Genomic DNA, 14,388 nt, shown 5'->3' with positions numbered 1-14,388 from the left:
GAGTGAAGTCCTAAAATCTTAAGAGAATTTCCTCTTTTGATCTAGGAGGAACATTTTTTGCAAAAGCTAAACCCACACAGATTCCCCCAAGGCAATGGGGAAAAGACGTTAAAGTGGGTGAGTTGTATGTCTTGATCCATTGTCAACCATTGTCCGGCAGAATTGTGGGGACTTAGGGGACATCGGCAAAGGGACAGGACGGGGAAGCAAGTACCCAGCTGCCAGACCAAGGATCCCCGGCAGGGTTAGGACATGGACCAGAACAGCAGGACAACAATTGAACGACAAGAGAGGAAGTGGAACAGACGTTACTCTAGATGTCTGTGCTGTCAAATTCCTCAAAGCACAGAAGTGCCGTCAATGCCCGTGTGCCCCTCAAAAAAAAAAAATCATGCACGCGAGATGCACTACACTGGATTTCTCTTTCTGTCAAGTGCTGCCTCTCCCCAGGAAGATGCCTCAGAAAGGGAAGACATCAACACGTTACAGATGTTTACAAGAGGACGTCAACATTTTGGATAGCCCAAACTCACTGATGGAGAAGCTGGAGAGATTGACGGAGCAATGTAGCCTCAGTGAGCCCACCATTGACTCTGCTCCATGGATTCATTTTTAGATAGACTCAGGCAGGGGGCACACACTTACTTAGTCCCATCTGGGCCAGTTCTTCAAGCTGAGCCTCCGACTTGGCTGTTGAAATGGCATAAGGCAACTTCAAGGTAAATGGTAGAACATCCCTGATTGTTCAGAAAAAGAGAGAATGTTTGTAATTACATGTCTGCTTTCTATCTTGTGTTTATTTTCATCATAGAGATGTTTTAGCTTAAACTGTTTAAAATGTCCTAAGTAGACACCATACCATATCGACAAAGTTATCTTTCCTGGTGGTAAAACTTAACACTTAAAATTCCTGTCTGTATTATCACACACTCAGGACAGGCTGAGAGAAAAACCAGCATAGTTTCAGTATCAAAGTAGGGACCCAATTGCCCTGCTGAGTAGCTAAAACGTATGTAGAGTTTACATCAGAATTGCTGACTTGTTGGTAGATCTAGCATGCATATAAAACATTATGTACTAATTCACTGCATGCCTATGTGAATGTTGGGCCGAAACTGCCTGGGCAGGAATGTGGAATCCTAAACCGAGATGAATTAGCCCATTGCCTTGCACACTGCAGGCTCTCAATGAATATCTGTTGGCTTTACTTATGAAATCTTCCCATTACAGCCCACACATTGGCCTTGGTGTGCTGGAGACAAAACGTTCTCCTGTGTTTGAAGGCAGAGCTTCTCTAATGTACAGATAGATACCCAGGGTCTTGTTATACTGCACACTCTGATTCCAGAGGTCTGGGAGGGACTGGAGATTCGGCATTTCTGCCAAGCTCTTAGAGGATGCTGATGCTGCTGGACCCTGGACCAGGCTTTGAATAGGAAAGCAAGTCTAAGACCCCTCATGCCAATAACCCCAGCACCCAAGCAGCATGGTGCCACGTGCAGATGGACAAACACACATGGCAGAGAGAGCAACAGACCCAACAGGAGAGAGCCCAGCCAGCATCAGGGACCTGCCACAGCCATGGGCCATGACTTGCTTTCTTGGAAATGGCAAAGGCAGACTTAAACATTTGCTCATGTTCATTCACAAAGGTTAGGACCATGCTCTAAGCACTGGTGAATTCCCCACAGGGCAAAGCACAACACTGTCCTGACACAGACAGGCAGGAAGTACTTGAATGAATGAATGAATATTCAATAAATATGGTGACTTAATCAAAAAGGAGGGTTTGTTTGTTTGTTTGTTTTTTTCCAGTGGTGGTAATAGTCTTACAAAGAAATAATTATTCATTCATTTGTTCCACAGATGTTTATGATCATCTGCAATGTGCCAGACATTGCATCAGGGGCTGGGAACGAAACAGACGGAAGTTCCTGCCTGCATGGAGCTCCATGTCAGGGGATACCGATAGACAATAAACAAATACACAATTTACAGAATCTATGAGAAGGAGATCCATGACATGGATAAAAGTGAAGCAGGAAAGGAGAATAAAGAGTGTTTGAGTGTGAAGGTGGGCAGACAAGTCTTCGTGAGCAGGCAGCATTTGACTGAAGATCTAATGGTGGCCAGGGGTTAAATCATGAGGGGAAGGACCTTCCAGGCAGAGTGAGCAGCAGGTGCAAAGGCCCTGGGGTGGGGAGGGTCTGGCATGGATGAAGAACAGCAAGGAGACCACTGCGGCTGGAAGGTGCTAGTAAGGAACAAAACTTGGAGTCCTGCCTGGACTTTGTCATCATGAGACGTGCTGAGAATTTCCACTGACGAGAATAATGATACCAAACAACCTATTGTTTACGGTAAAATTAGGCAACATTCTTGGATAAACCAGATTAAATCTGGATGACTGGAGAATTTTGGAGCCATGGAAGCTGTTAACAATGAATAACAAATTAGTAAGTCAATGAAAAGAAGAAAAAAGCAAGAATGTTTTGACACCGTAGTACTCTGCTAATGTAAAGCCAGGAGGCTGCTGTTCTTGGGGGTCAGGCCCATATCACCTCTTCCTTCCATGAGACCTTTCACTTGTCCTCAAATGTTGTGAGCACCCCCTTTGCTTGGCCACTTGTGTCTGTTTGAGATGAAGCAGGCAGCACTGCAGGGGATGGCTGTGTCTGTAATAGCTGCTGCCTGACCTGGCAGGGCGGCAACCCTGATGCTAATCTCAAGTGAAGATTAATGGGAACCACAACCTTGTAACACCAAACTAGACTGTAAATATATGTTTGTGTGGCCGGACCAACTTAATTAAAATCTACTTTCCTCAGACAATTTTGGGGGAAAGCTGCATACCACAAAACCAACCTGTGTTTATATTAAGCTTTTACCTTGCTCAATGCAGTACCTGGAGCTTAAACGTCACATGACTGGTTTGGGGTTTTCTTAATGATATATGACAGGAAGCCACACCTGTCCTTGGTTAATGGATGGTTTCAGGCTTTGATCTACTAGAAAATTAGATGTTGTATATGCATCGTCTCCCACTGTGCCAGCCAGGGTGCATCCCAGCATCTTCACACACACATGCACACACACATGCACATGCATGCACACGCACACACACTCACACAGGGACGCCTTCTCACTTACATCCTATTAAAGAAAGGGGCCTCAATTCTAAAGCTTGCATAACAGAAAAACAAAAGCCATCATCTTAGATATAAATGTTTCACCCAAGAGTTAAAACATGTACAGTCTAGATTTATTTTGTTTAACTTTGCTCTATACGTAGATTTCTAAAGGGGAGGGGACAAAGATCATCGGGCAACTACTATTAAATTACAGCAGGCACCGTAACTCGTGTGGGGCCTGGAACAGCCCTGGGAGGAAGCCGTGATGCCCCCATTCTGTGGATCAGGAGCAGATGACGACACAGACAAGTGAGGTCCCTAGCACACCTTCGCAGAGCTAATGGAGGTGAAGTGAGGGTCAAAACCTGGATGTGTTGGACCCTAAGGTCTCAGCAGCTGAATAGTATGGTGGGAAAATACGGGCTTTGGCATTAAGGCAGGCCTGAGTTCAACTCCCGTAACTGTCATTTACTGATTGAATGATTGTGGGCACATGCTTCACTTTTTCTGTCTCAGTGTTTTCATCATCCTAATTTATAGGGTTGCCATAAGGATTAGAAATATGTATGTATGGTGCTTAGTACAGATATAGAAGACCCCTAAAATTATTATTTCCTCTATTCCTCTATTCCGGTCTGAGGACAAGCAGCATTAGCCTTAACCCATGGGAGCTTGCTGAAAATGCAAAACCTCAGGTACCACCCCAGACCCACTGTACCGGATTCTGCATTTAGCAAGACTCCAAATGACTCTAGTACTCTCACTACTACACTGATAACACCAAATCAACAGAGCGTTGCCAGGCATTGGGGGTGAAGGTGTGCAGTCACTATTTGTATTCTCAATGACACTTTTCAGCGAGCCTTCCCACTATGGCAAATCCTATGTTTATTGATTCGTGAATTCTCTTGTGCAATGCATATTTGCATATGCATGCTGTGTGAAACACCAGAACCAATAATCCAATCACTTTCTTTACTTGAATATATTTATATACTAACAACCAACTAAAAAATGTCACAAATATTCTTGTAAGACTGAGTAAATCAACTACCAATTGCCAAGAACATAGATGAGTAGCATAGAAAGAGAAACAAAAACATCAAATATCTTTGCATTTTGGAACAGACAGGGAAATTAATCTTGGCCTTCCTACCTGCAAAACATCAATTTTGGAGTTTTCCTGTAAGTACCTTATATATTGGTATCATGTGTTATAGTTTATAAGGCTTTCATATACTTTATCTCCTTGCATCTTCAAACAGTCCTGGACAGCAGGTACTCCAGTCTACCATGAACACTGATGGTAACTTTTCTATGCTACTGCCAAATATTGCTTTGTAGGTGTAATGATTTTTCCCAGCAACTCCACAATTACCAAAAAGCAAACTGTGAAAAGTAAATATCAGCTGGCTTCACCCCTGGCCAACGTGTTAGCATTGAGACTTACTCCTCCAACCTGGTTGGCTTTAGGCCATACCAGGTGTGGTTCCCTGGGGATGAGTGTGTATATATGTGTGTGTGTGTGTGTGTGTGTCTGTTGGGGGCTGTGCTTCTGCACCAGCCTCCTCTCTTTGGGCAGCACATTTCATTTCCTTACACAGGCTTAAGAGATCCTGCCCAAATCATGGCAGGCAGGTTGCATCCTCTTGGGAGGTGCCCCCAGGTACTAGTCCCATTCTCAGTGAAGCCCTCATTTTCTTCCTGCTGGTGAGCAGCGCTGAATTCCTCCTCTGGAAGTGCCTCCCCTTCCTGAGGCCATTTATTGTGTGGCTTCAGCTGACCTGGAGACTTCAGAGGGTGAACGGCTTAGTGGCTCCTGGCCGGGCATGGTGCTCACACCTGTAATCCCAGCACTTTGGGAGGCGGAGGCGGGCGGATTGCCTGAGGTCAGGAGTTTGAGACCAGCCTGGCCAACGTGGTAAAACCCCATCTCTACTAAAAATACAAAAATTAGCTGGGCATGGTGGTGCATGCCTGTAATCCCAGCTACTCAGGAGGCTGAGGCAGGAGAATTGCTTGAACCCAAGGAGGTGGAGGTTGCAGTGAGCCGAGATCACGCCATTGCACCCCAGCTTGGGCAACAAAAGTGAAACTCCATCTCAAAAAAAAAAAAAAGTGCGTAGTGCCTCCTGCCCTCTGGCAGAGTCTAGTCAACAGGCATTTAGTCTTTGAGAAACAACCTAATCCTTAAATTAAAATAAACCGAGCCAAACTCAAATAAACTCCCCAGCCTATACGTGTGTTAGCTGTGAGAAGTGATGTCTGAAAACATCCTAGTAACACATTTTCCTGTCTCTGCCATATCAGCTGCCATGGACAGAGAAGAAAAGGAAGCCAAATTGAGCTCAGCCCCATAAGAGGAGGCAATGCCAATCCCTGCAGATAACAAGAATTTTGATTCTTAATTACTGAAAAAACACTTGATGTGAAAAAACTGTTATTGCTAGTAAGAAAAAAATGGAAAAAAAGAAAGAAAGAAAGCCTTTCACAATGCACACCCTGTTGACTCTGGTTAATATTCTGATTCTGGGCGGGGCGTGGTGGCTCACACCTGTGATCCCAGCACTTTGGGAGGCCGAGGTGGGTGAATCATCTGAGGTTAGGAGTTCAAGACCAGCCTGGTCAACATGGTGAAAACCCGTCTCTACTAAAAATACAAAAATTAGCCAGGCATAGTGGTAGGCGCCTGTAATCTCAGCTACTCAGGAGGCTGAGTCGGGAGAATTGCTTGATCCCAGGAGGCAGAGGTTGTAGTGAGCCAAGATCACGCCACTGCTCTCCAGCCTGGGTGACAGAGTGAGACTTCATCTCAAAAAGAAAACAAAAAACAAAAAACTGATTTTGGACTTAACATTGTATAGAACAAAATAGTTGCTTTGGTTATGAAAAGGACATGAGCACCCAGTTGGCCTGAAGGACAAGACTGATGGGCTGGTTTAAGGAACCCACATTTGTAGAATGAACTCCATCCCTTACAGAGTTTTCAGAGGCATTATCATGAAGCTTTCAAAGTCACAGGTTTGCATGCACATTCCCTTTCTGTGTGTAGGTGTGTGTGCGCATGTATGTGTGTGCATGTGTGTCTGTGTGTGCATGTGTGCACATATGTGCGTGTGTGTGTGTTTCCTGCTTGATGGGCCTGGCTGAAAGGAGCCTTGGGAGCAGCTTGAAGAAATAATCATATGAAGGATAATTTATGTTTGGAGGGGTTGGGATAGTCGTTTTGACCTTAAGCCTGGCATGGTGTGAACTTGGTGAACCTGTTCACTTGGTGAACATTTTACTTAAGTAACCAGTCTTAATCTGCCAACATCAAATAGGTGGCCAGCCTCCTAGATCCTTCAAGAAACCTCAGGTTAATTATATCCCACACACCAAACAGGGCCTTGAAACCATATGAGAGGAAGAGGCCTTACCTGCTGATGCAGTAGAAAGCAATGAGCCGGAATAAATCTGCGAAACTGATTCCTGAGCCTTCCAGGGAAAAGGCTGGAAAAGAGATTTCAGAAACCAGCTGATTCTCCCTGAGCACGTTCTGGGACAGGAAGAGCCCCTAACACCATGTGTGTGGGACCATCTGAGTACTCTCAAACAAACTACCGTGTGGCTTATCAGAACCAGCTGTGCAGAGGAGGCATGTCAGCCAGCAGCCACCGGTAAACAGTCGATGATCTGGAAGTTCATCGCTTGACTCATGCCGAGCACATGCTCCAGTGCTTGGTAAACAGACCAGGACAGACTCGAGTTGCACAACTGTCTTTTTTTTTAACTTCAGAACACAAAGGGCAGGGGACAAGGGGCCAGTCTGTCTGGATTGTATCAGCACAGGACAGGGCTTGGGGAACACCAAGACCCCTACTCCCCTCGATCCCTTGACCCTCCTAGGACACACACTTCCCTGGCCACTCCTTTTTGCCATAACAGAGCACCTGTGATAAAAGCACACGGGAGAAGGAATGTAGAGCTGGGAGGATATAACAAGTTCCCTGAAATCAGCTTTTGGTTAAATTCAACATGAAAGATTCCAAAACTGGCCGGGCATGGTGCCTCATGCATGTAATCCCAGCACTTTGGGAGGCCGAGGAGGGAGATCTCTTGAGCCCAGGAGTTTGAGACCAGTCTGGGCATTATAGCGAGACTACATCTCTCTTTTTTTTTTTCTCTCTCTCTCACTTTTTTTTAAAACAAAGATTCTAAAACCCATTTACTTGGAGTGTTGTTCCCCCCTCCACCCCTGCTCCAGTGTTCACATTTTCTAACACAGAAGACATGTTCTGAGCCGGCCATGGTGGCTCACGCCCGTAATCCCAGCACTTTGTGAGGCCAAGGTGGGTGGATTACCTGAGGTCAGGAGTTTGACACCAGCCTGGCCAACATGGCAAAACCCTGTCTCTACTGAAAATACAAAAATTAGCTGGATGTGGTGACATGCACCTGTAATCCCAGCTATTTGGGAGGCTGAGGGAGGAGAATCATTTGAACCTGGGAGGTGGACGTTGCAGTGAGCCAAGATAGAGCCACTGCACTCTAGCCTGGGTGACAGAGAAAGACTCTGTCTCAAAAAAAAAAAAAAAAAAAAAAAAAAGACACATACTGGCAAGATGGTGTGGCATTCTGCACATCTTCCAAATGCTGGAGCAGCAAGTAGTCTGACTTCAAATACTCATGAATTTGCCAGCCAGCCCTCACACCACCTCAGCTGAGCAACTCACACTGATATTCCTCTAAACATTTGAAATATCCTGTTTTATGAAGATTTCCTCAATCCGATGTGTTTCTTCTCACTCATACCCTCATTTATTTTGCTTATTTGCCTTTTTTTTTTTTTTTGGAGACAGAGTTTCGCTGTTGTTGCCCAGGTTGGAGTGCAATGGTGCAATCTCAGCTCACTGCAACCTCCATCTCCCGGGTTCAAGCGATTCTCCTGTCTAAGCCTCCCAAGTAGCTGGGATTACAGGCATGTACCACCAAGCCTGGCTAATTTTGTATTTTTAGTAGAGACGGGGTTTCTCCATGTCAGGCTGGTCTCGAACTGCTGACCTCAGGCGATCCGCCCACCTCAGCCTCCCAAAGTGCTGGGATTACAGGTGTGAGCCACTGCGCCGGCTGCTTCTTCGCTTTTTTGTATTATTTTATTATTTCTGTAGCACCCCCAAAAAACATCCATACCGCTACACATATACCATCACAGACACACACAGACACACAGAAACAACAAACACACGTGTGCCACAATTTGTAGAGTTAAGGAGGAGGGAACTGATTTGGAGCAGGTTAGCTTCTCTAAGCCTCGGTTTTCTCATCTGGAAAATGGACCCTAACAGTACTTTCCTTATCTCCCAGAAGGGTGGTGGGGGGAGATGAAATTTTTTAAAAATGAAATAATTTATGTGAAAGCATTGTTTCCAAATATGAGGTGTTGTTTATTATTAAGCTGCACTGTCTGTAAGTTATGACAAAATATCTGAATATTTATTTATTTGAGATAAAGTCTCACTCTGTCGCCCAGGCTGGAGAGTGCAACGGCACTATCTCGGATCACTGCAACCTCCACCTCCCGGGTTCAAGCGATTCTCCTGCCTCAACCTCCTGAGCAGATGGGATTACAGGCTTGCGCCACCACACCTGGCTAATTTTTGTGTTTTCAGTAGAGACGGGGTTTCACCATGTTGCCCAGGCTGGTCTCGAACCCCTAGCCTCAAGTGATCCGCCCACCTCAGCCTCCCTGAATGTTTTTATAGCAAGTCCTTCCTTCACCTCAATTCACAGAGAAGATAAACAGGCCCTGGCTGAGAAGGGGCCATTGCAGTGGGACCCAGGCCTGTGGTAACTAGTTATGACCAGGCTAATGCTTTATTTAAACAAGCTCTTTTAACCACTTGAAGTCACCTGGAGAAGATTAGGGAAGTGATTAGAGGCCTTGTCAAATTATGGGGGAAAAACCTTCGGCCACAAGGACCTCAATGAACAACGAGGAAGCTTCCACACACATTGCCCACACTTCTGGAAGAGGAGAGGAAGTGGCTTCCGACCAACACATCCATCGTGCTCCACTTTGGACATTAGGGAGGAATTTGAAAACCAGTTAGATCTGTGGCTTCTTGCCTTGTGGACTTTTTTTTTTTTTAATATTTTTGGGTTGTTTTTTCATTTTTAAGACACGGTCTGGCTCTGTCGCCCAGGCTGGAGTGCAGTGGCACGATCACGGCTCACTGCACTTAAGTGATCCCACCTCAGCCTCCTTAGTAGCTGGGACTACAGGCGTGTGTCATCATGCCTGGCTAATTTTTTTTTTTTTTTTTGGTGGAGATGGAGTTTTGCCATGTTGCCCAGGCTGGTCTCAAATTCCTGAGCTCAAGCAACCCTCTGGCCTTGGCCTCCCAAAGTGCTAGGATTACAGGTGTGAGCCATGGTGCCCAGCCTCTCGCAGACTTTCAAAAGCCAATTCAGAATTACTTAATTGATTCACTTAATATAAATTCATTATCAATTCACCTAACACATTATTAGCTCAATATGAATTTATTACCTTTCAAGCAGTGGGTTTGCAATGTACCTTCTGGTTGCATCCTAATGTATTTACATTATTGGCTGGGTTCCGCCTGCTTGTGCGCCTTTCAGGGGGAAGTTTTTCCCTGGCATCCATGACCTTGTGGACTTGTAAGATCCAGGTTGACAATTGAGCTGGAGGCGGTTCACAGTCAGCCTGGCAGGTTTTACCCTCCCCTAACTCAGTTAATGGTCATTTGGCTCAGCAAGATTGTGCCCTCCCGGCTGAGTAGAATCTCATCTCGGCCCTGAAATTGACCTTCATCTACACCTTCAGCTTCTCCAAATGCAGGAGGTGAGGTGCTGGGAAATCGGGAAGCAAGTGGGAATCCCAGGCTCTGTCTTGCTTCTGAGCTCTCTCCTCCTGGCCTGCTCCTCCCACTCCTCCCCCTTTGATGTGCAGATCCATCTTCCGATCCTTTCTTGGAGGCTGGCAGTACATCAGAACTGGGTGTTCCCTTTTTTATTTAAAATTTGGCCTCCCGACACTTCACATTTCCAATGACCAATCGTGGAACAGCAGAAAGAAAACCAACACTTCTGAACACCACTCTCCCTTCAAAATGTTCATCAAAAGGTTGGATTCTGCCTCTGATTAGCTGCATTTCATAGAAGACTGAACACTGATTGCCTGGAGGGAACAGGTCTGCTCAGGGATTATTTATTCACGAAGAAGTGCAGACACATGCTTTAGGATTTAGGATTAGCGTGAAAGGGCTCTCTCGCTACAGTCTCCTTGCAACTTAGTCACTGGCAAACCTGGGAACTGAATTCATGTTCCACTTAACTGGGTAGGGGGAGAGGAAGTCAACCTCTATTAGTTCCCTACCATATGCCATGCAGTAGGCTGCACACTTTATATTCAGGTTGTTTGACTCATTAACATCTCAGAGGTTACCATCATCCCATTACACAGATGAGAAAACTGAGGCTCCTGGAGTAGGTTATCTGCCTAGTCATTCAGTGCCAAGACTCAGGCCCATATCTGCCCATCTCATAACCAGAGCTCCTTCCATTTCCACTCCCTGCAGAGCCCCGTGGCCCTGTCAGTCAGGACCTGAGCATCCAATGACCACTTACTGTATGTGCTTTCCTTTATGGCAAATTCCTTGAGTGGGGCCCCAAATTCACAGGGCAGGCGGAGGGAGAGGACTTTCTTCTGCATCTTGGTAGATTTATGAACCAGGAAGATCTAGTGGAGGGAAAAGAAATACAAGCTTTAGGAAATATCTAGAATGTTGGAACCCAAGCATCTGGTTTCCCTCACACTCAATGAATAGAATCCCTTCATATCCACACTGCATGGCTCCCTGCAGGAAACTCTCCTGCCATAGAAAGGGGTGCTCAGAGCACAGGCTGCAGACACCTTTGTTCATTACTGCCTCCAAAAGAATCCTGCTTTCCCTCTGACAGAAGCTTCTCCATGGGGCTAAGAACTCCCCTAGTCTGCATAAGCATTTTCAGTTCAGTGACTGTTTTACTGCTGGAGTTACGGTCTCCAGCCCCTGTCTTATATGAGTTATATTCTGTAGCCCCTGTCTTATATATCTTGGTTGGTGAAACCTAAATTCTAAACACAGGTAACATGACTAAACCATAGGAATTGGCATTTCATTGGTTAACTTGGCTTATGAGGATATTTACAATAGAAATTTAAGTTTGTGGCCAACAGTGAAAAAGCAGAAGTTGCTTTGTTTTTTGTTTTCAAATTGAAATCTGAATTTCTAGCTCCTCTTGGAAAATGAGATGATATAGCAAGACCAGGCAACAATCTACTGGAGCTGAAAAATGGCTGTTCCATTTGGGTGGTGGGTGGATGCACTCTGAAGTTCACCCCGGTGGACATGGAGGCTGTCCATTTATTCCTGACTCACTTCACATTCTACCAGTTCCCTCAAGATCCTAATATTGTCTTTAGACACATGCTTTAAAACAGTTCAATTCCTAGTGCTGATCTCAGGACACCATTCTGTCCCTCATCACTGCAGAGTTAAGTATGCTGTGTACTGTTGTGTAGGCCGTGCACTGCACAACTCCAGGAGGCACCATTCACCTAGCCTACAAATGAAGTGACTCTCCCTGGAGTATGGCGTGTGGCAGCCCAGCTGAGTCCTGGTTCCCTTCTGTGGAGCATGGCCCTTCTCCTATTCTGTCTGTCATGCTTCTTTAGCTACTTCTCTTTCCTCTGCATTTAAACACCTTACTCTCTACCTATTCTCTCCCCTACCTTTCTATAGCCTTTCATTTTTTCCCTGCCTAATCTTTGCTCCTCTCTTTATCTCCAGTTGATATCTCATAAGATACTTTATTTGGGGGGTGGGAAGATGGGTATGGGACTTGGGTATCTGGTGAAGAATGAAGCTGGAAGACCGTGAGTTCTCTTTTCTCCTGGCACCATGGGGATGCATCCATAGGACTCATCCAGTAGCAGGTTCTGGGAGTCAGTGCCTCTGGGACACCCTAAAACTGAAGCAGATGCTTCCTAAATAGCATCCAGGGGGGTAAGAGGCCAAAGCACTGTGGAGAGGCAGCTGTTGGTTGTTAGGAGAGGAAGTAACACTCCCTTTTCCAAGTGGAGATCTCCCTGAGCCTTGGGGTTGGGGAGTGCAACCTCTAGGCCTTATTTTTTGGAGGACTGCAGCCTTACGTTATATCAGGGGTTGGCAAAGTCTGGCCTGCAGACGAAATCCATCCTGCCATCTGTTTCTGAGTAAAGTTGTAGTGAAATACAGCCACGCTCGATCATTTACATATTGTCTATGGCTGCTTTTGCATGACAATAGTGTAGTTGAGTAGTTGTGACAGAGACTCTATGGCCTGCAAAGCCAAAAATAGTTTACTTTGCCCTTTACAGAAACAGTCTGTGGACCTCTATCTTAGATTGTAGAATAATTAAGGATGGGCACCCCAAGAGCCCACTTCACTCATGCCACCATGGCCAGTCTCTCAAATCCTCCTTTTTCACACACTTTTAGCCACCTGCTTTTCTCTCTCTTCTTTATTTTATTTAATTATTTTATTTTTAGATGGAGTCTTGGTCTGTCATTCAGGCTGGAGTGCAGTGGTGCAATCTCAGCTCACTGCAACCTCCACCTCCTGGGTTCAAGCAATTCTCCTGCCTCAGCCTCTGGAGTAGCTGGGGTTATGGGTGCGTGCCACCATGGCTGGCTAACTTGTGTATTTTTAGTAGAGACGGGGTTTCGCCATGTTGGCCAGGCTGGTCTCGAACTCCTGATCTCAAGTGATCTGCTCGCCTTGGCCTCCCAAAGTGCTGGGATTACAGGCCTGAGCCACCATGCCTGGCCTCTCCCTTCGTTATTCTTGACTGTCCTGGTCCACGTTACTCCTGTCCTGGCCCTGCCCTCAACCTGCCCAATCTCATCAGGCAGGCCCTGTGCAGGGATCAGGCAGGTGGATGGAGAGAACATGCCTGGCTTGTTTCCCATGCAGGTTTCAGCAAGAGTGGACGTGCCCTACCTTGGGAGGGGGAGCTGGGCAGGCTGTTGCCTAGCTCTGCAGCAACTTCTGTCTTTGGAATGTTTTGCAGAAATGCAAGAGCAGACAATTCAACTGGCTGAAAGTTAGGCTTCACAGAAGGTGAGGAAATCCTGATCCTATAGAACAAAACTAGAGGCAGCAGCTCTGTGTTATGGCCAAGGGATTCTCTGCAAAGATGAGAAAGCACCGTGCCTTGTTCCCCTGAGCATGTTCTAGCAGACGTCTTAGTTCTACCTGTTTCTGCCTGATGAGGAATAAAGAAAGATTCATATGTTTTTTAAAAAGTGAGAACAGACAGACTCTGACTGCTAGGAAACTCAAAAAGGTATTTAGTGCCCAATTCTTATGACATTCCTCAGCTAGCTACTAATGGGATTTTCTCCTTGCTTCTCCATCTAGTTCTTAGTTTCTATCTTGTGTTGCGTGTTAAGTATTATTTTATCTGTGACTTATTGTATTTATCCTTTGGAAGTAGACACTGTACACAAATGCCGTCCACTATAACTTTGTACTACAATGACAATGTTCCAAATTTTGCACCATCTAATATGGCAGCCAGCCGAGGCCAGAGAGCACTTAAAATGTGGCTACGGTAACTGAGGAGCTGAATTTCTAATTTTATTTGCTTTAATTCATGTAAATTTAAACAGCCACATGGGGCAAGAAGCTACCATATTGGATAGCACTAGAGATACCAATCACTTTTTTTTTTTGGGGGGGACAGATTCTTGCTCTGTCGCCCAGACTGGAGTGCAGTGGCACAATCTCTGCTCATGGCAACCTCCACTTCCTGTGTTCAAGTGATTCTCCTGCCTCAGCCTCCTGAGTAGCTGGGATTACAGGCGTGTGCCACCACACCGGGCTAATTTTTGTAATTTTAGTAGAGATAGGGTGCCACTGTGTTGCCCAGGCTGGTCTAGAAATCCTGGCCTCAAGTGATCTGTCCGTCTTGGCCTCCCAAAGTGCTGGGATTACAGGCGTGAGCCACCGTGCCCGGCTCCAGTCACTTTTTTGAGGACCTTCCACAAGTCGTGGAGTGGTCTGGATGGGACGGACAGTGGTCTTGGATAGACAGTAGCTGAGGAAACCATATTAGACTTTAGTCTGTGTGGAAAGCCCAGGGAAAAGAGGACTACAGAGCAGGCAAGTCTGTGGACACAGAACTTTTGAAGGCTGGGTCCCAAGTTGGATGGCTGGACCTTGGCAG

The 14,388-nt window shown here is 45.9% G+C and overlaps 1 protein-coding gene across 20 annotated transcripts in view, besides 2 other annotated features; it reads right to left on the bottom strand.

Moving 5' to 3' along the window:
* The window catches only part of RIN2 (Ras and Rab interactor 2), a 244,858-nt gene that overhangs the window by 30,882 nt on the left and 199,588 nt on the right, over positions 1 to 14,388 (bottom strand). For 19 of the 20 annotated variants that reach the window (XM_047440212.1, XM_047440213.1, XM_017027888.2 and 16 more), the window contains 3 exons: positions 10,764 to 10,875; positions 6,551 to 6,623; positions 646 to 737 (listed from right to left, as the gene is read on the bottom strand). In XM_047440212.1, coding sequence (XP_047296168.1) covers positions 646 to 737; positions 6,551 to 6,623; positions 10,764 to 10,875 — 277 coding nt within the window. The remainder of the gene's footprint in view (positions 1 to 645; positions 738 to 6,550; positions 6,624 to 10,763; positions 10,876 to 14,388) is intronic. The other variant, NM_001378238.1, reaches the window with a different exon arrangement.
* Positions 12,103 to 12,834: an enhancer, noted in NCBI's record as "OCT4-NANOG-H3K4me1 hESC enhancer chr20:19939385-19940116 (GRCh37/hg19 assembly coordinates)". NCBI's record gives its function as "activates a minimal SCP1, AML or CMV promoter by ChIP-STARR-seq in naive H9 embryonic stem cells {active_cell/tissue: H9 hESC(naive)}" and the evidence as "EXISTENCE:reporter gene assay evidence [ECO:0000049][PMID:30033119]".
* Positions 12,835 to 13,566: an enhancer, noted in NCBI's record as "H3K4me1 hESC enhancer chr20:19938653-19939384 (GRCh37/hg19 assembly coordinates)". NCBI's record gives its function as "activates a minimal SCP1, AML or CMV promoter by ChIP-STARR-seq in naive H9 embryonic stem cells {active_cell/tissue: H9 hESC(naive)}" and the evidence as "EXISTENCE:reporter gene assay evidence [ECO:0000049][PMID:30033119]".

Source organism: Homo sapiens, chromosome 20 (genome assembly GCF_000001405.40).
Source record: "Homo sapiens chromosome 20, GRCh38.p14 Primary Assembly".
Lineage (NCBI taxonomy): Eukaryota > Metazoa > Chordata > Mammalia > Primates > Hominidae > Homo > Homo sapiens.
Note: the sequence above shows the minus strand (reverse complement) of the source record. Positions and strands in the feature narration are given on the sequence as shown.